This window comes from Homo sapiens, chromosome 2 (assembly GCF_000001405.40).
Source record: "Homo sapiens chromosome 2, GRCh38.p14 Primary Assembly".
Taxonomy (NCBI): Eukaryota; Metazoa; Chordata; class Mammalia; order Primates; family Hominidae; genus Homo; species Homo sapiens.
Genome location: NC_000002.12, coordinates 15,242,786 through 15,266,348, shown reverse-complemented (window position 1 = coordinate 15,266,348; position 23,563 = coordinate 15,242,786). Strand labels below are relative to the sequence as shown.

At 40.1% G+C, this 23,563-nt stretch overlaps 1 protein-coding gene across 11 annotated transcripts in view, besides 1 other annotated feature; it reads left to right on the top strand.

Annotated features, from left to right (window-relative positions):
* NBAS (NBAS subunit of NRZ tethering complex) overlaps positions 1-23,563 on the top strand; it is a 782,426-nt gene that overhangs the window by 294,986 nt on the left and 463,877 nt on the right. The gene's annotated exons all lie outside the window — the stretch shown is intronic.
* Positions 6,330-7,156: an enhancer, noted in NCBI's record as "OCT4-NANOG hESC enhancer chr2:15399317-15400143 (GRCh37/hg19 assembly coordinates)". NCBI's record gives its function as "activates a minimal SCP1, AML or CMV promoter by ChIP-STARR-seq in naive and primed H9 embryonic stem cells {active_cell/tissue: H9 hESC(naive and primed)}" and the evidence as "EXISTENCE:reporter gene assay evidence [ECO:0000049][PMID:30033119]".

The following is a 23,563-nucleotide window of genomic DNA, read 5'->3' as shown; positions in this document are numbered from 1 at the left end:
GCCTCTTTTAGTTTTTAATTGTAGCCGTACTTAGGAGCTCTCAAAATGTTAACAATGTCTGCTGTATTCATCAGTTCTCATGCTGCTATGAAGAAATACCTGAGACTGGGTAATTTATAAAGAAAAGAGGTTTAATTGACTCATGGCTGGGGAGGCTTCAGGAAACTTACAATCATGGAGGAAGGCACCTTTTCACAGGGTGGCAGGAAAGAGAATGAGTGCCCAGCCAAGGGGGAAGCCCCTTCTAAAACCATCAGATCTTGTGAGAACTCACTCACTATCACAGCAGCAGCATGGGGGAAACTACTCCCATGATTCAGTTATCTCCACCTGGTCCCGCTCTTGACACATGGGGGTTATTACAATTCAAGGCAAGATTTGGGTGGTAACACAGAACCAAACCGTATTATCGGCTGTCCTTAGAATTTGCATGGTTTGGACAAACCTACCTCCTCTCCAGTGCTTTGGCTTTTCTTGGACTTACCCTGCTGTTTATTCTTCACTTTTTGCTCTCCTCTTGCCTGGTGCCTGCTTTTATCTTTATGCAGATTTCCATGTTGATTAAAACATTTAGAATCTTCCCTTTCCAATTCAGGCAGTTCTGTACTATAAAGTACAAATATTAGGTTTCCTTACCTACATAACTTCGTAGTAGTGGTGATTTGAACCATGCATGGGCCATAGTAAGTATGAAAATACATATTTGCTACTTTTTAAAATTAATATTGTAGTTGCTGCTGCTTTGTTGTTACCGAACCCTATGCTAGTCCTGTAGTGAGAACCCAAAGGAAGTTTGAGATATGGTCCCTCATTCTAGTGGACTTGCAACCTAGGAAAACAGTGTATTCACTCACAAAAACAAAGCAAGGAATACAAGATAGCATGATAGTGAGTTCTGAATTTGAGGATTATAATTTTCCTATACCCTAGCTCATTTGATATTCACACACATCTTGTGAGGGTGATTATTAAGCAAGTATTATCATCTCTGGTCTGAGGGTCAGATTACTAGAGAGTGATTGGCCAAAGTTCAACAAGCAGGAGATATCCAATTCCTTTTTCAAACACAGGTCTCCTGATTCCAAATTTGATGTTGATCGCATGAGATTGCATGACACTTTTCTGCTAAAGGAACTGAAAAGAGAAGGGTCATTGTAGCCTGATATAGCCATGTAGGCACAGCCAAGACATAAGTATTTTGCATGCCTATCAGCCTATACAATGTCTTACCTTTAGTAAGTTGGAAAGTTAATTTGGCCCAAATGGACCATATGCTATGAAGAGTCCCTCAAAAGACAAGTAAAGAAGTTTGCATATGATGTGGAAAGGAAACACGAAGCCGATGAATACTTGTGAATAGTGGCATGAACTGGAGAAAAGATGATTTAAGGATGTCAGTGTCACCACATAATAATAATAAGGGGAACTAATGCCTCCAAAAGTCTGTCCTAGGCACTCAGGCTGCACTCGAATTGTGGAGCAGATAAAACATTTTCATCCGTCTCCCTCGTCACATCCAGCCTTTCCACCAGATGCTATTATATAAGAGGAGGAAGAGATGTTGTAACATGACTGAATTGTCCCACCAGCTCCATGAAGTAAATTTGTCACCATTTTAACAGACACAGAATTTAAGTCCCAAGGAAGTTAGATAACTGCTCCCGTGTTTTATGAGCTAGAATTGACAAAGTCAGGATTCACATACGGGCGCGCTCCTAAACTCTTGCTTTCCACTACCTCCCTTGCCTGAGAAATTTGGCTGCAGAAGCCCATCCGGGGTGATTGTGATTAACTGGCCTGACTGGCAAGCTGAAAACTCCTTCTCTGTGCTTGGAAAATTATTTCACATTGGCGAAGGTAATCATTTAGTAGGAGAGATTGAAAATTGGCCAAAGGACCATGTACGCAGTACAATCATAAATGCTAATGCATTCTGCTCCTGGAGAGGACTCTGGTGGGATGCTGAGCTGTTGGTGCTCATTAATAAGCTGGAAGGAATACACTCTCCTTCCTGCAAAGCATGTGGATTCTAAATTCATAGGGGGTGTAAATCTTGGGGAAGACAGAGGAATAAATAAAAGATCTCAGAATTATGTCCAGCAAATACCAAAACATATTTTAACACGATAAAAGCAGTGAGGGAAAGGAATCTGAAAATAACCTCCCTACTACAGTGCTCTCCTCTTTCTGGCAAACTTCATGGTTCTGCAGCTGTTTATTACTCAACTGTAAATCTTTAGTGACTTGGACTCCCTTTGCTCTTCCATTCTTTCTTCATCGTATAAGCTCCCTCCTCTCATTTAAGTACCTTTCAAACTTACAGACAGATTTATCTCCTAATAGCTATTTCATAAATACACTATCTAGCCTGTGCAGTGAAGAAACTTATAATAAACAGCCATGCCCTTTCCTCACTGCTAGTGCCTACTGCTTCATCAAGTAGTGGCACCCATAGGATGTAAAATTGCAGCTATCGCAGGATGTCGACTTGACAGCCAGGGAGATCTCTTCATAAATGGGGATGGTAAACAAATAACTCAGTTAAAGATGTGGAGGCAGAAAGGTAGAAATGGTTAATAATAGAGTCAGTGGAGCTGGAGATATAGCCAGGAAAGGCCCCGTAGTATAAAAGGTATTTGAGCTGAGTCTTTAACTGATGAGGGTATTTGTCATGAGCATTACAGAAGGAAATATTAGAAAGATGGGAACATTCAAGACATATTTAGCAGTTTTAATAAAAACATGAAATAACCTAGTACCTTTAGTTAATTTTAAATAATATGGTATAAATTGGAGCATAGGATGAGGCCAGAAAGATAGGAAGGGGCCTGGGAATGAAAACTCTTGTATACCTGGCTAAAGGATAGACCTCATCTTGGGAATGGATCAGTTAGACGTAAGTTGTCAACCAGGTAGTGACATTGTCATATTTTTGTTTTAGAAAGATTACTTTTAGCCTGGGTGCAGTGGCTCACATCTGTAATCCCAACACTCTGGGAAGCTGAAGCGGGCGGATTGCTTGAGGCCAGGAGTTCAAGACCAGCCTGGCCAACGTGGTGAAAACCCTGGAGTCCCAGCTATTTAAAAGGCTGAGGTGGGAGGATCTCTTGAGCCCAGGAGGTGGATGTTGCAGTGAGCCAAAATCATGCCACTGCATGCCAGCCTGAGCAACAGAGTGAGACCCTGTCTCAAGAAAAGATACATATATCTCACCACTTTTGTGATGATTGGAGAAAGGAACAGAAGTGGAGGGCCACGGAAATTTCATTGTGAAGCCTCTTGCAGCCTGATGTGGGAGAGATGATGGTGGCCCAAGCTGAGGCATGAGCAGCAAACACCTGGATTTGGGCTCATTACTGCAATGTGGGCATGTGTGCTACCTGCATTTGTTTTCATACTGTATTTTCCTGAATGTGCCTTGAGGAAATTCCACCAGCTATTTAACATTTTATTCACTGAATCACCTCGCAGAGTTCCTTAATCATTATAGAACCATTTTTTGTCCAGTATGCCTCATCTGATGAGGGCCTTTTTATGCCACCCTATGAGTAAAGACTATGAAAGATTGATGCCATTTGATCACCAGGTATTAAAAATTCTCATGAGGAGAACAGAGAAAACAATTTTAAATGAACATAGACACAGGAAAATCTGGGAAACTTTATTGTTTAATGTTGTAGGCTCTCAGTGTGTTGAATTGAATTGAATCTTGATAGATCTTAGACACATCATAAGCTATTTTAATAGTAGCGGGGTAATGTAGAAAGAGACAGGTTTATAGTCAGACCTTCCAGAGTTTCTATCCAGTTTTGACTTTGGGAAAATTACTCTATATTCTGAGTTAAGTTTTTGCCTTTGTATAATGAGGAACTATAATCACTGCTGTATACATATAGATTAGTTTTAGAGTGTTTTTAGACACAAGTAAGAAGACAATTAAAATTGGTTTAACTACCAGAAAATTTACTGGCTCTTGTAAGTGAAAGATCCAGAGGTGGGGCTGACTTCAGGGCTGGCTGTGCAAGCAGCAGGCTTCATCACGGAGCCAGTTTCTTTCCATTTCTTTTCTCTACTTTCTGTCATGTTAGTTTCACCATAAAGTACTTTGTTGTAGTAGTTGCAGGACGATACCTGGTAATAACTGGGGCTATGTTGCTTCCTGATTCACATCCATCCAGATAGAGTGACAGAGCCTCCTATAAGACCAAACAGAAAGTTCTAAGCTTTATGCTGGTTAGAGCACTCCTGAATCAACCCTGTGGCCCCTGGTATGGCAGATGCTAATTAGCACCAGCCTGGATTACCTGTCACTCTGGTGAGAGGGATGAGATTGCCCTGGATGATCTAACTCTTGGTTTTGCATGATCCTGAGTAGTTTGAAGTGTTAGGATAAGACCTAGATTTTCATATCAACATTTGATTTTGCTATAAATACAGTGGACCTACTTTCAATGATATTAATAATAACAATTTGTGGTATATACCACTACAAGCATGTAATAGAAGATTTCTAAATGGAAAATGTGAATGAATGCTTTCAAATTTTGTTAAGGCCTGTATGTGCTCAATAACAATAGATGTATTTATTACTGATTTCAGTAACATTTCATCTCATTTCTAACATTTTTCATGCCCCTCTCCATGAAGATAAAGGTGACCTTCAAGCTATTGAAAAACTTAGGAATGTATTAGCTTGTATCATTGCTGAAAGTGAGCAGTAAAAAAGAGAGGGCCATCTACACTTTGCTGAAGAGTAATACTATTTCTGTGGTTATTGTACAAGGCAAAGGGTTAAGTTTAAGGTAAAGTGGCCTATACCCTGCATTACTCACTTTTATTATATGAGCAATTGATAATTAAGCAAAAAAGCATAATTATGGTGATGTTAAGTGTATAAATGAATGTGACAAGACAGGTATGATTATTTTTGTGTTTGAATATTTTATTAGCTTTAGTAAAGCAAAAATTTTAAAACTTAACTTTCACTTTCATTTGCGTAATATTTAAAATACCGTTTCATCATATTCTATACGATTTATAAACAGCACTTAACGTGCTATACTAAGCACTGAGAAGAAAAGAATGACTAAGTGGGGGTCCACAGCCTGGTGAGGAGAGTGTACACCATAAAAGCACACACAGCATTTGGCATCAGCACACAGAGAGATGACTGTTAGGCTATTAGCAAAACATAAAGTGATTTATTGTTTTAATGAAGTTAGTTAAATATAGCTGAGATAATTTGATGTCTCTTTTGTGGCTCCAATGTTTGCTGGCTCCTGCAAGCCATCCTGTTATCATCAGAGCAGATTTACAGGTGCTTTAAAAACTCTGAGTTATAACTCACTAGTGGGTCCTGTAATTAGTTTGAGCATTGTGGTCAGCATTAAAGACACACAAGCAAAACAGACCACTAGACTGTGGATTAGGATCGGAAACATCAGAATGTATCTCCCCTTAGTAGGGGGTCATATCGTTTCCTGACATTTTTGTTTGCTTTCAGTATATGCAAATATGTCTGTGTATATATATGTATAATAATTGACTTTTGATACATAATATTGTTTCTTACTGTTGGTCTTGGGCAAAAAAGTTTGAAAGCTACTGTGTCAACTTACTGGCAGCTGACGACATACATCAGAGGAGTGCCTGCTCCAGGAGCTGGCATAAGACAGCATAGGAGTGTTTTTCAGTCCTTTAACATAATGTCATTTACAACCGAAATCGCCTGTCTCCTTCAACCCCATCCACTCTGTCCAGACTCTTGCAGTGACCACCTCACTGTACCTTTGTTTCAAGTCCCAGGACCCACCTCCATTCACCTCCTAAACTCACCATTGGCCAGTTGGTTGGGTCACTCAGAAGCTTAAAGGCTCCAGAGCTGCACACTTTCTTTGCTATTAGAATTAACCAGGAAATGCTCATGCAAGATACTGGTTTCTTTCCACGAATGCCGATGTCTTTCCCAAACCCACGGATTGAGTCAGTAAGCCTGATAAGAGCCAGGGAATTTGCTTTTTTGAGGTTGCACTTAGGTAATTTCAATACAGGTGGTCTGAAAATCACACTTTAGGAAAACAGTGCTACAAAGCTGTGAACTTGAACCTTTTTTACTCATGTAGCTAAATTAAAATCACCTGATTACCTCTCACACACTTGATATCTAAAAATTTTATAATTTTAAATGATTACAAAGGAAGGCATAGTTTCCAGCACATTTTAAATATTCACATTTAAAGTAAAACTGTAACATAGCTCTATTTGTATACAACATATGTGATTTGATATCTACTGCTATCACTTAAAAACATACAAGAACACATCTACAGCTGTCAGAAAGGTTGCATCTTTCCTTTTCCTCAAACCATTTCTACTGTGTCTTTTGTCAAAGAGAAAGCCAGATACTTTTTAAAGGCAGTAAAGACAGATTTTCTTAAGTACTAACTACTGCAGAGGGAAGAGAGCCCAGCATAAACCAAGCTCAGCTTCACCAAAACAAAAAAGGCAGAATACTTTTTCAACACTGGGGTGTGTGAAAGGAAAGGCACAAGGGGCGTTAAGGGAGGTTTGGTCCATGTAACTGAACCATCTTGGTTTGCAAATTGGCACTTATCTGGAGAAGAAACAAACTGCTCATGTCTTTATGACAGCAGGTAGTTGTGCAAGTTGGAACAAGGCATCCATGGAAGTGAGGCCCTTACCCTCCCACAGAGAGTTGGCTCCTTGAGTGTTTATATTGCAAAGAGACTGATCCCAGGTCCTTCAGGAAACACACTAGGTGGTAGAAGATTTACATCTCAAAGGGACAGAGAAAGGATTATAATTGCAAGCTTTCTAAAGTAACTGCTGTAAAGAGGGGTTGAGGAGCCTATTGGCTTATCACCAGGTGTTGGCTAGAACAAACAATGCATTCTACTGACAGCTTTGAACTTTCTTGGCATTTTGACGGGGACTGGAGTCATTCTAGGGACATGGCCTTGCTAGAAGCCCTGCTAAAATTTGGTCAAGCGTATTAATGCAGGGGTTTGGATGGAGTCATTTTGTGTGGAGAGTTTGTGTAGTTTTCACTTTCGTATAATTTTATTGTAATGCAATTCAACGTCTTTGTGCTTAAAATCATGTTTCTCTGCATCAGAAATAATCAAATAGAAAGTAACATTTAAAAAATGTCTTGTGACTCTAGGGTTTCAAGGGTTTTTTTAAAAAATCTATATTCAGTTATTTTTTCAATTATTGCAGCATATATTTGATCAGAGCAGCATTGATGTATCGGGGGAACCCACCCCCAATATTTCAACATAGGTTCTTTCTATTTTCCCTAAGTGTTAGCTGATCTGAGAAATAAAGAGAAAGAGTACAAAGAGAGGAATTTTACAGCTGGGCCGCTAGGGGTGACATCACATATCGGTAGGTCCTTGATGCCCATCTGAGCCGCAAAACCAGCAGGTTTTTATTAAGGACTTCAAAAGGGGACGGGTTGTATGAACAGGGAGTAGGTCACAAAGATCACATGCTTCAAAGGGCAAAAAGGAGAACAAAGATCACATGCTTCTGAGGCCAATAAAGATCACAAGGCAAAGGGCAAAATCAAAAACTCCTGATAAGGGTCTATGTTCAGCTGTGCACGTATTGTCTTGATAAACATCTTAAACAACAGAAAACAGGGTTCGAGAGCAGACAACTGGTCTGACCTCAAATTTACCAGGGCGAGGTTCCCCAATCCTAGTAAGCCTAAGGGTACTGCAGGAGACCAGGGCGTATTTCAGTCCTTATCTCAACCGCGTAGGACAGACACTCCCAGAGTGGCCGTTTATAGACCTCCCCCCAGGAATGCATTCCTTTCCCAGGGTATTAATATTAATATTCCTTGCTAGGAGAAGAATTTAGGGATATCTTCCCTGCTTGCATGTCCATTTATAGGCTCTCTGCAAGAAGAAAAATATGGCTCTTTTTGCCCAACCCCACAGGCAGTCAGACCTCATGGTTCCCTTCCCTTACCTTGTTCCCTAAAATCGCTATTATTCTGTTCATTTTCAAGGTGCACTGATTTCATATTGTTCAAACACACATTTTACAATCAATTTGTACAGTTAACGCAATCATCACAGTGGATCTGAGGTGAGGTACATCCTCAGCTTACGAAGATAACAGAATTAAGAGATTAAATGTAAGACAGGCATAAGAAATTATGAGTATTAGGGAAGTGATAAATGTCCATGAAATCTTCACAATTTATGTTCCTCTGCCACGGCTCCAGCCAGTCCCTCCGTTCGGCGTCCCTGAGTTCCCGCAACATTGATTTATTTTTTTGATAAATAACTATTAAATATAAAAATAAAATTATATTCAAAATGCACATCTTAATGAGGTAGAGATTTAAATATTGTTTTTAACTAGTTTATGTGCTCTTGGATGACTATTGTTAGATTGTGATTGAGTTCAATGTCAGTTTTCTATTTTATATTTGCATAGATATGAGTACTTAAAAACATTGTTCACATAAATAAGTGGGTGGAGAAGTTTTGCCATAGCAGATTCACTTAATTCTTTGAATTTCTTATAAGTTATAGACCAAAAATCATATAGCAAACTTTTGTTAAAAATTAATTTTTAATGATTTATCAGCAGACGCCTCATTTAGATCCTTCATAAATTGTGTTGAAAGCACAGCATTGGGCCTGTAATCCCAGCACTTTGGCAGGCTGAGGTGGGCAGATCACCTGAGGTCAGGAGTTTGAGACCAGTCAGGCCAACATGGTGAAACTCCGTCTCAACTAAAAATACAAAAATTAGCTGGGTGTGGTGGCAGGCTTTTGCAATCTCAGCCACTTGGGAGGCTGAGGCAGGAGAATCTCTCGAATGCGGGAGGCAGAGGTTGCAGTGAACCAAGATTGTGCCACTGCACTCCAGGGTGAGTGACAGAGAGAGACTCAAAAAAAAAAAAAAAAGAAATTAAATGGGAGATGTTACAACTGATACCACAGAAACACAAAAGATCATTCAGAGCTACTATGAACACCTTTACACACACAAACTAGAAAACCCAGAGGAGGTGGATAAATTCCTGGAAATATCCTAGATTAAATCCGGAAGAAATAGAAACTCTGAACAGACAAATAACAAGTAGCAAGACTGATACAGTAATTTTTAAAATTGCCAACCAAAAAAGTCCAAGACCAAATGGATTCACAGCTGAATTTTATCAGGCATTCAAATAATTAGTACAAATCTTACTGAAACTATTCCAAAAGATAGAGAAAGAGGGAATCTTTCCTAAATCATTCTGGGAAGCCAGTATCACCCTAATACCAAAACCAGGAAAGATGTAACAAAAAGGGAAAGCTATGGACCAATATCCCTGATGATCATAGATGCAAAAATCCTCAACAAAATAACCAAATCCAACAGCATATCAAAAAGATAATACTGCATAATCAAATGGGTTTTATACCAGGGATGCAGGGATGAATTAACATATGTAAGTAAATAAATGTGATATATCACATAAACAGAATTAAAAACAAAAATCATATGGTCACCTCAATACGTGCAGGAAAACGTATTTGACAAAATCCAGCATCCCTTTATGATTAAAACCCTCAGCAAAATTGGCATATAAGGGACATACCTCAAGGTAATAAAAGGCATCGCTGACAGACCCACAGCCAACATTATACTGAACAGGGAAAAGTTGAAAGCATTTTCTCTGAGAACTGGAATAAGACAAGGATGCCCACTTTCACTATAATGTTGATGCTATTCAGCATCATGCTGGAAGTCCTAGCCAGAGCAGTCAGACAAGAGAAAAAAATAAAGGGTGTCCATATTGGTAAAGAAGAAGTCAAACAGCCACTATTTGCCAATTGATATGATTGTATACCTTGAAAACCCTAACGACTCATCCAAAAAGCTTCTAGGTCTTGTAAATGAATTCAGTAAAGTCTCAGTGTACACAAATCAGTGGCACTGCTATGCAACAACAATGACCAAGCCGAGAATCAAGTCGAGAACTCAACCTTTTTTACAACAGCTGCAAATAATAATAATAATAATAAAATACTTAGGAATATAAGCAAGGAGGTGAATGATCTCTACTTGGAAAACTACAACACACGGCTGAAAGAAATCATAAATGACAGAAACAAATGGAAACACATCCCATGCTCAAGGATAGGTAGAATCAATATTGTGAAAATGACCATATTGCCAAAAGCAGTCTATAAATTTAATACAATTCCCACCAAAATACGATCATCATTCTTGACAGAACTAGAAAAAAAATCCTAAAATTCATACAGAACCCAAAAAGAGTCTTCATAGCCAAAGCAAGACTAAACAAAAAACAAATCTGGAGGCATCATATTACCTAACTTCAAACTATACTATAAAGCTATATTAATAGTTACCAAAACAGCACTGTACTCGTATGAAAATATGCATATAGACCAATGGAACAGAATGGATAACCCAGAAACAAAGCCAAATACTTACAGCCAACTGATCTTTGACAAAGCAAACAAAAACAAAGTGGGGAAAGGTCACTCTATTCAACAAATGGTGCTGGGATACTTCATTGGCAAGCCACCTGTAGAAGAATGAACCTGACTCCTCATCTCTAACCAAATACAAAAATTAACTCAAGATGGTTCAAGGACTTAAATCTAACACCTGAAGCATAAAAATTCTAGAGGATAACGTTGGAAAAACTCTTCTAGACATTGGATTAGGCTAAGACCAAGAACCCAAAGCAAATGAAACAAAACCAAAGATAAATAGATGGTACCTAATTAAACTAAAAAGCATCTACACTGCAAAAGAAATGATCAGCTACTCAACAACCTACAGAGTGGGAGAAAATATTCACAAACTAAGCATCTGATAAAGGACTAATCCAGAATCTACAAGGAACTCAAACAGATCAGCAAGAAGCAAGCAAACAATCCCATCAAAAAGTAAGCAAAGACATGAATAGATACTTCTCAAAAGGAGATACACCAGTGGCCAAAAAACAAGAAAAAATGTTCAACATCACTAATTATCAGGGAAATGCAAATCAAAACTACAATGAGATGCCACCTTATTCCTGCAAAAATGGCCATAATTTAAAAATCAAAAAATAATAGATGTTGTTATAGATATGATGAAAAGGGAACATCTTTACACTGCTGGTGGGAATGTAAACTAGTACAACCACTATGGAAAACAGTACTGGAGATTCCTTAAAGAACTAAAATAGAACTAACATTTGATCCAGCAACCCACTAGTGGGTATTTAACCCGGAAGAAAAGAAGTCATTATATGAAAAAAACACTTGCACATGCATATTTATAGCAGCACAATTCGCAATTGCAAAAGTATGGAACCAGCCTAAAATGCCCATCAGCCAACAAGTGGATAAAGAACATGTGAGGTACACGTGTGCACACACACACACACACACACACCCCATGGAACACTACTCAGCCATAAAAAGAAATGAAATAATGACATTCTCAGCAACCTGGATGGAGTTGGAGACCATTATTCTAAGTAACTCAGGAGTGGAAAACCAAACATCTTATGTTCTCACTTATAAGTGGGAGCTAAGCTATGGGGACTCGGAGACATAAGAATGACATAATACACTTTGGGGACTTGGTGGGGAAGGGTGGAGGGGAATGAGAGAGAAAATACTACACGTTGGATATAGTATACACTGCTCCAGTGATGGGTACACCAAAATATCAGAAATCATCACTGAAGGACTTTTCCATGCAAACGCCACCTGTTCCCCTAAAACTGTTGAATTTTTTTAAAAATAACTTAGAAGAAAAAAAAGAAAGCAAAGCACTGGGAACCTTGTGACATGCAAGAAGAAGTTTGTTATCCAGTCACTGTGTAATCACCTTTCTACCACTTTGTAATCACTTTCTACCACTGCACAAACGGAGACCCCAGCTTTGCAGTAAAGAAAGAGTTTAATTGACTCTAGGCCAGCCGTGCCATGCTGGAAATGGAGTTATCACTTAATCAATTGAAGCCTTCTAGGTTAAGGTTTTTTAAAATGCAGTTTGGGGGAAGGGGTGTGGGTGGCTAGGAAATGGGTGCTTGCTGCTGATTAATTGGGTGCAATCATAGGAGTGTAGGAAGTGAGCCTCCTGGGTGCCCAATTGCTTCTGGGTGGGTCTGGGTGGAGCCATGGATCTCAGACATGCAAAACACATGAATAGATATCTCAGAAGGCCAGTCTACAATAGTGACGTTATCTGCAGGAGTAATTGGAGAAGTTGCATATCTTGTGACCCCAGAATGTAATAATGGCTGGCAATTGCTTATGTCTACATCTTAGGAGAATTCACGTTCCTCTCTCCTCTTAGCCTGATAGTCTCTCACTCACTTTACAAAGGCGGTTGAGTTTTGGGGCAAGGGCTGTTATCATTTAAACTATAAACTAAATGTCTGACAGCTTGAAGGCTAAAGGCAAGATGGGGGTTGGCTAAATTAGATCTCCCCCACTGCCATAATTTTCTCACTGTTAAAATTTTTGCAAAGGTGGTCTCCATTGGAGTCTGTTATACACCAGCATTCTGAATTGTCCCTTTGGTGTTCTGGAGCTCTTTAGACATCAGAACAATGTATCAGAGTCAGACTCAGGAAGAGTGTCAGACATGCCTTTCTTGTGTTAGTTGAAGGCTGTTGTCAAAGGGGAGTTGGGAAAGAGCACAGGCTTCACACCTTGATCAGTTTTAGGAAAGAATACTTAGAGAAGGTGGAAATTAATTTAGAAACAGATTCCCTTTAAACTGCCTGTGCCTGCGTCCCTGTTGGAAGGCTTTGTGTGCTAGTGGCACACATACCTCAGTTTGGAGACCACTGGCCCAAGGTTAATGTGTAAGTTTCCCAGCATGGCACCCCCAGTGGCCCCAGCACCCTTTGCATCTCTTCTCTTGCTGGACAATCCCTTGCCTAAGCACACGCATACACACATTTGCACCACCAAGAGCTTTTGCAGGTATAGCTTGGGAGTAAGACTGGAGAAGGAATGATGTTTGGCTTTGGTGATTGAACTCCTGGGATGGTTTAATCTTTTTCAGAATTGATTCCCCCTCCTTTCCCAAATATACTACAGCTGCTGCTCTGCACCCACTCCCCTACCCCATGAGACATCTTGCGGTCATGAGCTACTGTTTTTGGTGAGAATATATTATATCCTGTAGGTTTTTTGGAGCACAGTAAAACGTTGAGAGTTACAGCCTTAGAACATTCTTCTTCTATAAAAGCCTTTATTTAATTAATTCCTCATTCTGTCCTCTTTGCCTGCAATCCACCCTCCCCTCCTTCTTCCACATGAACTCCTGCTGATGCTTCAAGTTCTGCTTCAGGTGTCACCTTCTTTTTAAAGACTTGCCTTTCTAAAACAATTTTTTTTCTTGGTGTACCCACATACTTAATTTATATTTCTGTCACATTTTATATATTTTTATTTCCATGTAGACTTTTCCATTAGGATGTATGTTCTTCCAGGATAGTGATTCTGTCTTAATTTACCTTTGTATCCTCTGTGCCAAGGCCAGGCCTAGCTCATAGCGAGTATGAAAGTGTTTGAACATGAAAAGGAGGAGGGAGAGATGGATGAAAAATAGGGTGAGTTTGTAAATGGAAACCTATAAAGAGAGGACATCTGTGTATTTTTTTAATTAGTTAAATAATAAACTGTTTGTAAACCCTGATTTTTTCCACCTCACTCTGTAGGTAGCACCTGGATTTTTCTTAAGTCACCTGCCATTTCCTAAATAACAGCCTTATGTTCAAAGTCATGCTATGTTCTTTTTTTTTTAATTTTTATTTTATTTTTTATTTATTTATTTTTGAGATGGAGTTTCGCTCTTGTTGCCCAGGCTGGTGTGCAATGGCGCGATCTCAGCTCACTGCAACCTCCACCTCCCGGGTTCAAGTGATTCTCCTGCCTCAGCTTCCTGAGTAGTTGGGATTACAGGCACGCGCCACCACGCCCGGCTAATTTTGTATTTTTAGTAGAGATGGGGTTTCTCCATGTTGGTTGTGCTGGTCTCGAGCTCCCAACCTCAGGTGATCCAACCGCCTCGGCCTCCCAAAGTGCTGGGATTACAGGCATGAGCCCCTGTGCCCGGCGCTATGTTCATTTTTAAAAGAAAAAAAGTCTGCTTAGCAAGATTTCACAGCGGTGAAGTAGGTGCAGATGATGTAGGTCATCTTGGTGAATTATGAATCAAGCCATTAGCTAAAACCTCTGGTGCTGATTGTGTTGCTCTCCTGCTGGAGATCCTTTTATGCCTCCCAAGGCATGAAGATGATGATACTGTCATCAGCTCAGTATGCAGGGCGCTTCCTCATGTTGTCATTTCTGCTTCATTCTTCCTCATTCTCTGACAGACTGTTACTTGTGTCAGCGGCATTTGAACCAGAGCAACTCCATCTTGAATAGGAGCTGGGTGAAATAAGGCTGAAACTTACTGGGCTGCATTCCCAGGAGGTTAAGGCAATCTAAGTCATAGGATGAGACAGGAAGTCGGCACAAGATACACATCATAAAGACCTTGCTGATAAAACAGCTTGCAGTAAAGAAGCCAGCTAAAAGCCACCAAAACCAAGATGGTGACGAGAGTGAGCTCTGGTCATCCTGACTGCTACATTCCCACCAGCGTCGTGACAGTTTACAAATGCCATGGTGATGTCAGAAGGTTATCCTATATGATCTAAAAAGGGGAGACATGAATAATACACCCCTAATTTAGCATATCATCAAGAAATAACCATTAAAATGGGCAATTAGCAGCCCCAAGGGCCTATGGAGTAGACATTCTTTATTCTTTTACTTTCTTAATAAATTTGCTTCCACTCTATGGACTTTGTTTGTTTGTTTGTTTTTTATTATTATACTTCAAGTTCTAGGATATACGTGCAGAACGTGCAGGTTTGTTTCATAGGTATACATGTGCCATGGTGGTTTGCTGCACCCATCAACCCATCATCTACATTAGCTATTTCCCCTAATGCTATCCCTCCCCTAGCTCCCCACCCGCCGACAGGCCCTGGTGTGTGATGTTCCCTTCCCTGTGTCCATGTGTTCTCATTGTTCAGCTCCCACTTATAAGTGAGAACATGCAGTGTTTGGTTTTCTGTTCTTGTGTTAGTTTGCTGAGAATGATGTTTTTCAGCTTCATTCATGGCCCTGCAAAGGACATGACTCATTCTTTTTTATGGCTGCATAGTATTCCATGGTATATATGTGCCACATTTTCTTTATCTGGTTTATCATTGATGGGCATTTGGATTGGTTCCAAATCTTTGCTGTTGTGAACAGTGCCTCAGTAAACATACGTATGCATGTGTCTTTATAGTAGCATGATTTATAATCCTTTGGGTATATATTCAATAATAGGATTGCTGGGTCAAATGGTATTTCTAGTTCTAGATCCTTGAGGAATTGCCACACTGTTTTCCACATGGTCGAACTAATTTACACTCCCACCAACAGTGTAAAAGCGTTCCTATTTCTCCACATCCTCTCCAGTATCTGTTGTTTCCTGACTTTTTAATGATTGCCATTCTAACCGGCATGAGACGGTATCTCATTGTGGTTTTGATTTGCATTTCTCTAATGAACAGTGATGATGAGCTTTTTTCATATGCTTGTTGGCCGCATAAATGTCTACTTTTGAGATGTGTCTGTTCATATCCTTTGCCCACTTTTTGATGAGGTTGTTTATTTCTTGTAAATTTGCTTAAGTTTTTTGTAGATTCTGGATATTAGCCCTGTGTCAGATGGATAGATAGCAAAAATTTTCTCCCATTCTGTAGACTGCCTGTTCACTCTGATGATAGTTTCTTTTGCTGTGCAGAAGCTCTTTAGTTTAGTTAGATTCCATTTGTCTACTTCGGCTTTTGTTGCCATTGCTTTTGGTGTTTTAGTCATTAAGTCTTTGCCCATGCCTATGTCCTGAATGGTATTGCCTAGATTTTCTTCTAGGGTTTTTATGGTTTTAGGTCTTATGTTTAAGTCTTTAATCCATCTTGAGTTAATTTTTGTTTAAAGTGTAAGGAAGGGATCCAGTTTCAGCTTTCTGCATATGCCTAGCCAGTTTTCCCAACATCATTTATTAAATAGGGAATCCTTTCCCCATTGCTTGTTTCTGTCAGGTTTGTCAAAGATCAGATGATTGTAGATGTGTGGCGTTATTTCTGAGGCCTCTGTTTTGTTCCATTGGTCTATATCTCTGTTTTGGTACCAGTACCATGCTGTTCTGGTTACTGTAGCCTTGTAGTATAGTTTGAAGTCAGGTAGCATGATGCCTCCAGCTTTGTTCTTTTTGCTTAGGATTGTCTTGGCAATGTGGGCTCTTTTTTGGTTCCATATGAAATTTAAAGTAGTTTTTTTCCACTTCTGTGAAGAAAGTCAACAGTAGCTTGATGGTGACAGCATTGAAACTGTAAATTACTTTGGGCATCAGTATGGCCATTTTCACGATATTGATTCTTCCTATCCATGAGCATGGAATGTTCTTCCATCTGTTTGTGTCCTCCCTTATTTCCTGAGCAGTGGTTTGTAGTTCTCCTTGAAGAGGCCCTTCACATCCCTTGTAAGTTGTATTCCTAGGTATTTTATTCTCTTTGTAGCAATTGTGAATGGGAATTCACTCATGATTTGGCTCTGTGTTCATTATTGGTGTATAGAAATGCTTGTGATTTTTGCACATTGATTTGTATCCTGAGACTTTGCTGAAGTTGTTTATCAGCTTAAGGAGATTTTGGGCTGAGACGATGGGGTTTTCTAAATATACAATTGTGTCATCTGCAAACAGAGACAATTCACTTCCTCTTTTCCTAATTGAATACACTTTATTTCTTTCTCTTGCGTGATTGCCCTGGCCAGAACTTCCAATACTATGTTGAATAGGAGTGGTGAGAGAGGGCATCCTTGTCTTATGCTGGTTTTCAAAGGGAATGCTTCCAGTATTTGCCCATTCAGTATGATATTGGCTGTGGGTTTGTCATAAATAGCTCTTTTTATTTTGAGATACGTTTCATCAATACCTAGATTATTGAGAGTTTTTAGCATGAACGGGTGTTGAATTTTGTCAAAGACCTTTGGTGCGTCTATTGAGATAATCATGTGGTTTTTTTCATTGGTTCTGTTTATGTGATAGATTACGTTTATTGATTTGAGTATGTTGAACCAGCCTCGCATCCCCGGGATGAAGCTGACTTGATCATGGTGGATAAGCTTTTTGATGTGCTGCTTTATTCAGTTTGCCAGTATTTTATTGAGGATTTTTGCATCGATGTTCATCAGGGATATTGGCCTGAAATTTTCTTTTTGTTGTTGTTGTTGTGTCTCTGGCAGGTTTTGGTATTAGGATGATGCTGACCTCATAAAATGAGTTAGGGAGGATTCACTCTTCTATTGTTTGGATAGTTTCAGAAGGAATGGTACCAGCTCCTCTTTGTATCTCTGGTAGATTTCGGCTCTGAGTCCCTCTGGTCCTGGACTTTTTTTGGTTGGGAGGCTATTAATTGCTGCCTCAATTTCAGAACTTGTTATTGGTCTATTCAGGGATTCAACTTCTGGTTTAGTCTTGGGAGGGTGTATGTGTCCAGGAATTTATCCATTTCTTCTAGATTTTCTAGTTTATTTGTGTAGAGGTGTTTATAGTATTCTCTGATGGTAGTTTGTATTTCTGTGGGGTCAGTGGTGATATCCCCTTTATCACTTTTTATTGCATCTATTTGATATTTGATTCTTCTTTTATTCTTTATTAGTCTGGCTAGTGGTCTATCAATTTTGTTGATCTTTTCAAAATACCAGCTCCTGGATTCATTGATTTTTTGAAGGGTTTTTTGTTTCTTTATCTCCTTCAGTACTGCTCTGATCTTAGTTATAGTTATTTCTTGCCTTCTGCTAGCTTTTCAATGTGTTTGCTCTTGCTTCTCAATAATTCTTTTAATTGTGATGTCAGGGTGTCAACTTTAGGTGTTTCTTGCTTTCTTCTGTGGTCATTTAGTGTTATAAATTTCCCTCTACACACTGCTTTAAATGTGTCCCAGAGATTCTGGTACATTGTGTCTTTGTTCTCATTGGTTTCAAAGAACATCTTTATTTCTGCCTTCATTTTGTTATTCACCGAGTAGTCATTCAGGAGCAGGTTGTTCTGTTTCCATGTAGTTGCGCGGTTTTGAGTGAGTTTCTTAATCCTGAGTTCTAATTTGATTGCACTGTGGCCTGAGAGACTGTTTGTTATGATTTCCATTCTTTTGCATTTGCTGAGGACTGTTTTACTTCCAATTATGTGGTCAATTTTAGAATAAGTGCAATGTGGTGCTGAGAAGAATGCGTATTCTGTTGATTTGGGGTGGAGAGTTTTGTAGATGTCTATTAGGTCCGCTTGGTCCAGAGCTGAGTTCAAATCCTGGATATCCTTGTTAACCTTCTTTCTCGTTGATCTAATATTGACAGTGGGGTGTTAAAGTCTCCCACTATTATTGTGTGGGAGTCTAAGTCTCTTTGTAGGTCTCTAGGAACTTGCTTTATGAGCCCGTATTGTCATTGGTTCTCTTTATGTGATGGATTTTATATCTATATAAATATATATAGATCTATAGATAGAGGTATATATAGATATATATAGAGAGATATATAGATATATATATAGAGAGAGAGAGAGAGAGTAGCTCTTCTTGGTGCATTGATCCCTTTACCATTATGTAATGCCCTTCTTTGTCTCTTTTGATCTTTGTTGGTTTAAATTCTGTTGTATCAGAGACTAGGATTGCAACCCCTGCTTTTTTTCGTTTCCATTTGCTTGCTAAATATTCCTCCATTCCTTTATTTTGAGCCTGAATGGTCTCCTGAATAGAGCACACCGATGGCTCTTGACTTTCATCCAATTTGCCAGTCTGTGTCATTTAATTGGGGCATTTAGCCTGTTTACATTTAAGGTTAATATTGTTATGTATAAGTTTGATCCAGCCATTATCATGCTAGCTGGTTATTTTGGCCGTTAATTGATGTGATTTCCTCATAGCATAGATGGTCTTTACAATTTGGTGTGTTTCTGCAGTGGCTGGTACTGGTTGTTTCTTTCCTTGTTTAGTGCTTCCTTCAGGAGCTCTGACTTCTTTCTTGAGCGAGATCCAGAAACCCTCTCTTGGCGTCTGGATCTGGACACCTTTCCCGTAACGCTTTCATTCTGCATTCCAGCCAAGCCCATGTACTTCTAGGTGCCCCACTTGCTCCTTTGACTAGTGACCTCTTCACATTCCTCCTTTCTTGTCTTAGTTTCTATTCACTCTTGAGGACTCTCCTTGGAGATGTCACCTTTCAGCAACCCTTTCCTGACCTTGCATGCCCATCACTTCCAGTCTGCAGAGTGGCCCTTCTGAGGGCTTCCATGGCACCTTGTGTTTACCCTGTTGTAGTTGTAGGATGATCATGCCTCTTTGTAATGTCTTTTATCTCTCCGTATTTACAACTAGACTTTGACATACCCAGGGGCAGGGCCTTGATCTAATTTTGTCACCAGCACTCAGCCCAAGGCAGATGCACGGTGTGCACTCAGTGGATGTATGTTGAATGAATAAACAGCCATCAGTAGCTTGATGCCGTTGTGCCCCTTCCTGCATGACTTCCGATCCAGGGTGGCATTGTCCCAATGGCAAACATTTGGTCTCAGTTTTTTGTTTCTTTGTTTCAACTCACTTAAAGTGTCCTTTTTAAATGTCTCCTAGGGCCTTCTTACAGGAATTACTTACTGCAGAGTAACTGGGTAATTTTGGAGCATTCTGAACCACAACTTTCCAGGGACATGTTGAGAACATGTAATTTTATTGCACTTGTAAAGAATCTTTGTTTTCTCCGTATGTTGATCAGAGTTGTTCAGTAATTTAATAGCTATTTACTTTTAGTCTACAGTGTGTTAGACATTATGTTAGGTCTAGGGATACAGAGATTTTAAAAGCACAGTTTCTATCCTAAAGGATCTCATTGTTTAGTCAGGGAGATGTACAAGTAACTAGGTAATTTCAATGCAATATTCTTTGATATAGGTCAGGAAGGCTCCTCAGAGGAGTGAACCCCTGCACTGATTCCAGAAACACAGGCAAAGGCCTAAGAAAGGGTGATTATGTTTTTCTCAGATAACTATAGTTTTTAGTTTTTCTTTGAAATAAGATTTTCTTACAGTGTTTTAAAAATGGGAATCTAAGGAGACATTTCCATGTAATTATCTTCAATATACAAGTGGCTCTCAGTGGCTTCCAAGTCAGATTCCTTATCTAGCCTGGCATTCCAGGCCACATATAACTTACTCTCAGTTTATCTTTTCAACTAGAACTGTTTAATATTATAAATCAGAGATCAGAAAATGATGGCCCACAGGTCAAATTTAGCCCACTGCCTGTTTCTGTACAACCCTTAGCTAAGATTGGCTTTTACATCTTTTTAAAGGATTGCAAAAACCAGCCAACCAACCAAACAAACCAGAGTGTCTAATAGAGACTCTGTGTGGCCTGCAAAGCCTAACATATTTACTGTCCAGCCCTTTATGCCACACCATGTCTAAACTAAAGTGCTCTAGTAGTTAGAGATGTGTCATGAGCCCTCCTACTTACGTGCTTCCTCAAATGCACTTTTACTGTTCTCTTTTTAAACAGTGTCATCCATCCATCCATCCGTCCGTCCGTCCGTCCATCCATCCATCCATCCATCCATCCATCCATCCATCCTTCCATTCAACAGAGAGGCATTTGTTATGTATGAGCCACAATTCTGGGCTTTGGGAATGTAGCAGTGACAAACAATAAGCAATAGAAGCCCAGTATGTCAATTAGGAGGAAAAAGTACTGCAGGGCCAGGAGAAAGAGGTGGAGAGAGTGCCATGTTTCATGGAGTGGTCAGGGAAGGCCTCTCGGATAAGATGACATTTTTGTGAAGTCCCAAGAGAAGTAGAGGGTCAAGTCATGAGGGTGCCTGGGAGAACATTCCAAGTAGAGAGACCGATGACTGTGAAGACTCTGAGGGGGCCTGCAAGGGTGCCGGGGTGGTTGAAGTGGCCTGAGAGTGTGAAGGCAGGGAGGGGATAGGATCAGAGAGGCAGGGTGAGGGGAAGAGCAGATCGCATGGGGCCTGATAGGGCATGAAAGACTGGCTTTTATTCTTAGTGAGTTGGGAAGCCATTACACGGATTTGAGCAGAGGCGTGGCTGGAGCAGATGTGTGTTTTTAAGATACCATCGTGCTGCTGGGTAGTGCTGGAGTAACAAAGCAACCCCAGAGTCACAGTGGCCTAGCACAACAGACGCCTCCCTCAGGGCCCGTACCCACTTGGGGTCTCCTCAAGTACCTTGTCAGGAGAAGGAGTGGGACTGGAAAATCGGGTGTGATTGCCTTAGCCAGAGTGATACATGACACTTCTCTCACGTTTCATGGGCCCACCTAGCCATGAAACCCTGTCTAACTACAAGGGGGTTGAGAAGCATAGAGAAGCGGATAAGATGTGTGGTAGAAACCACTGTCTGCTACAGCCCACCCTTTTATTCACCAAGCCTTCTTTCCACCACAGAACACACTCTGCTTCTCCACTAGAGGAAACCACCCAGGGTCCTAGTCCCTCCAGGGAGCCCAAAGTTGGCATAATACTCAGTAGGCTGCGCATCAGGTCCAGCTGTGATCCAGACTGTGAACCAAATGGACAAATCCTCTGCCCTGTTTCCCCCACACCCACCCCGACACCCAACTTACATGGTGAAACAGGGACAAGATAATTGCATTAAGCGCTCACCTTGGAAAGGGAGACAATAAGAGATATTTGGCAGACACGACTGTGAGGCAGCTTAAAAAATCTGCTGTACAGACATTATGAAGGCTTCCCTACTGTGGGGTAGGTAAGGGGCCTTAATTAGGCCTTAATTCTGCTTTCTAGGAGCAACCTTGTTATCCTTTGTTCTCCATGACCCCAGTTTCTTCCCTCCAGGGAAGACCTCCCCACTTCCTTCCTGGGCCACATGAGGAGTGCTTGTTGGAGGCCTGTACCCTCAAGGTTGAAGGCCCAAGTGTTAAGTTTTAAACAGTCACAGGCATTTTCAGTCCAGGTTTGTGGTTTCTTGGGCAGCATCACTATCTCAGAAATTCAGTCAGGTTCTTATTTATTTAATATCTGTTAGTGTCATGTGCCCGTAGCCACATCTACAGGGTCTTTTCATTTGTTTTGAAATATTGTTCTGTATATCTTTGATGTATCACCCCTGTACGTTCTCTCTCTCCACTTAAAGGGGGCTAGCTTAAAGCTATCAGGTTTCTGTTTAAGGATGACATCATTAATTGGATCTCTGCCCTGAGTCATTTTGTCCAATTGAAAGAATTTACGGAGTGTCACGCCCTTGTTTTATCTCTTCCCTGAATCATTTTAATCTTCTAAAGGTTTTACTTGGCATTTGTTATATAAGGATTTCTCCGTCTTATCTCTTACTCATGGGGTCTAGAATTAGTAAGTTGGTTTTTGTTTTTGTTTGTTTTTTAACCCAGTATGGCCCTGAATTTCTGGGCTGTTTATTTTGTTTCACTCCTGCTTCCGATCTGGACAGTACTTCATGTAATACCCACAGCATCATATAACACCCAACACATTTCTGGTGTTCCATTTCCCAAGTTCATTAGGGGTATGATCTGCCCCCCAAGTTACCACAGATAATAGTTTTATTAAGTATTTTTTATAGCATATCATAGATTACGGTATTTTTCTAATCTTTTTTTTTTTTTCATTGCCTGATATCTGAAAACCAAAGCCACATATTGCCTCCCTCTTGGTACCTGTTGTGTGTCAGAATAAGCTAAGGTTTGTAGAGGCTTTCGGTAGATAGTCTCTCATGCACCTAATCCGATAAAAGACTGCAAAGGGGCCTGTACCACAAAGTCACTTAAGGATCCAGGCTGATGGAAGCCCCATCATTTTGTATTGGCACCATCTGGGCCCCATGTTCTCCTTAATTGTTGTGGTTAAAAAAGGGAAACTGGATAGTGAGCCATGTGGGTTTTTTTATTGCCCGGCTCTGAAATGGTATATGTCACTTCTGCTCAGATTTCACTGGCTGGAACACAGCTCATCCTAACTACAAGGGAATTGACAAATGCAGTGGAAGAGTTGGAATGCTTGTGTTTGGTGAGCACCACTATCTCTGTCACACTGGGAGACAAGTTAGAACCGTTGCAGTGCTCTTTATGAGAGATGATGGTGGCTGGGAACTGAGTGGTGGCAGTGAAGGTGGTAGGAAGTGGTTAGAACCTAGATATATTTTGAAGCTTGACCCAATAAGATTTGCTGATGTCATCCATGATTCCTCAGTCCCTCCACCCCCTTCTCACTATATTATCTCCCATGATATATGTGGTTTCTTTGTAAGCCTGGTTCATGTTTTTATCTCATTTTTTACAGGTCTTGGAAAGTAGATGTTTAGTACCTATTTATTAACTGATGAAACGGTTTAGCCACTTATCTTTATTTCAAAAAATCCATTATTATTTTTCATAGCAACTACTAATTGCTGCAGGGAA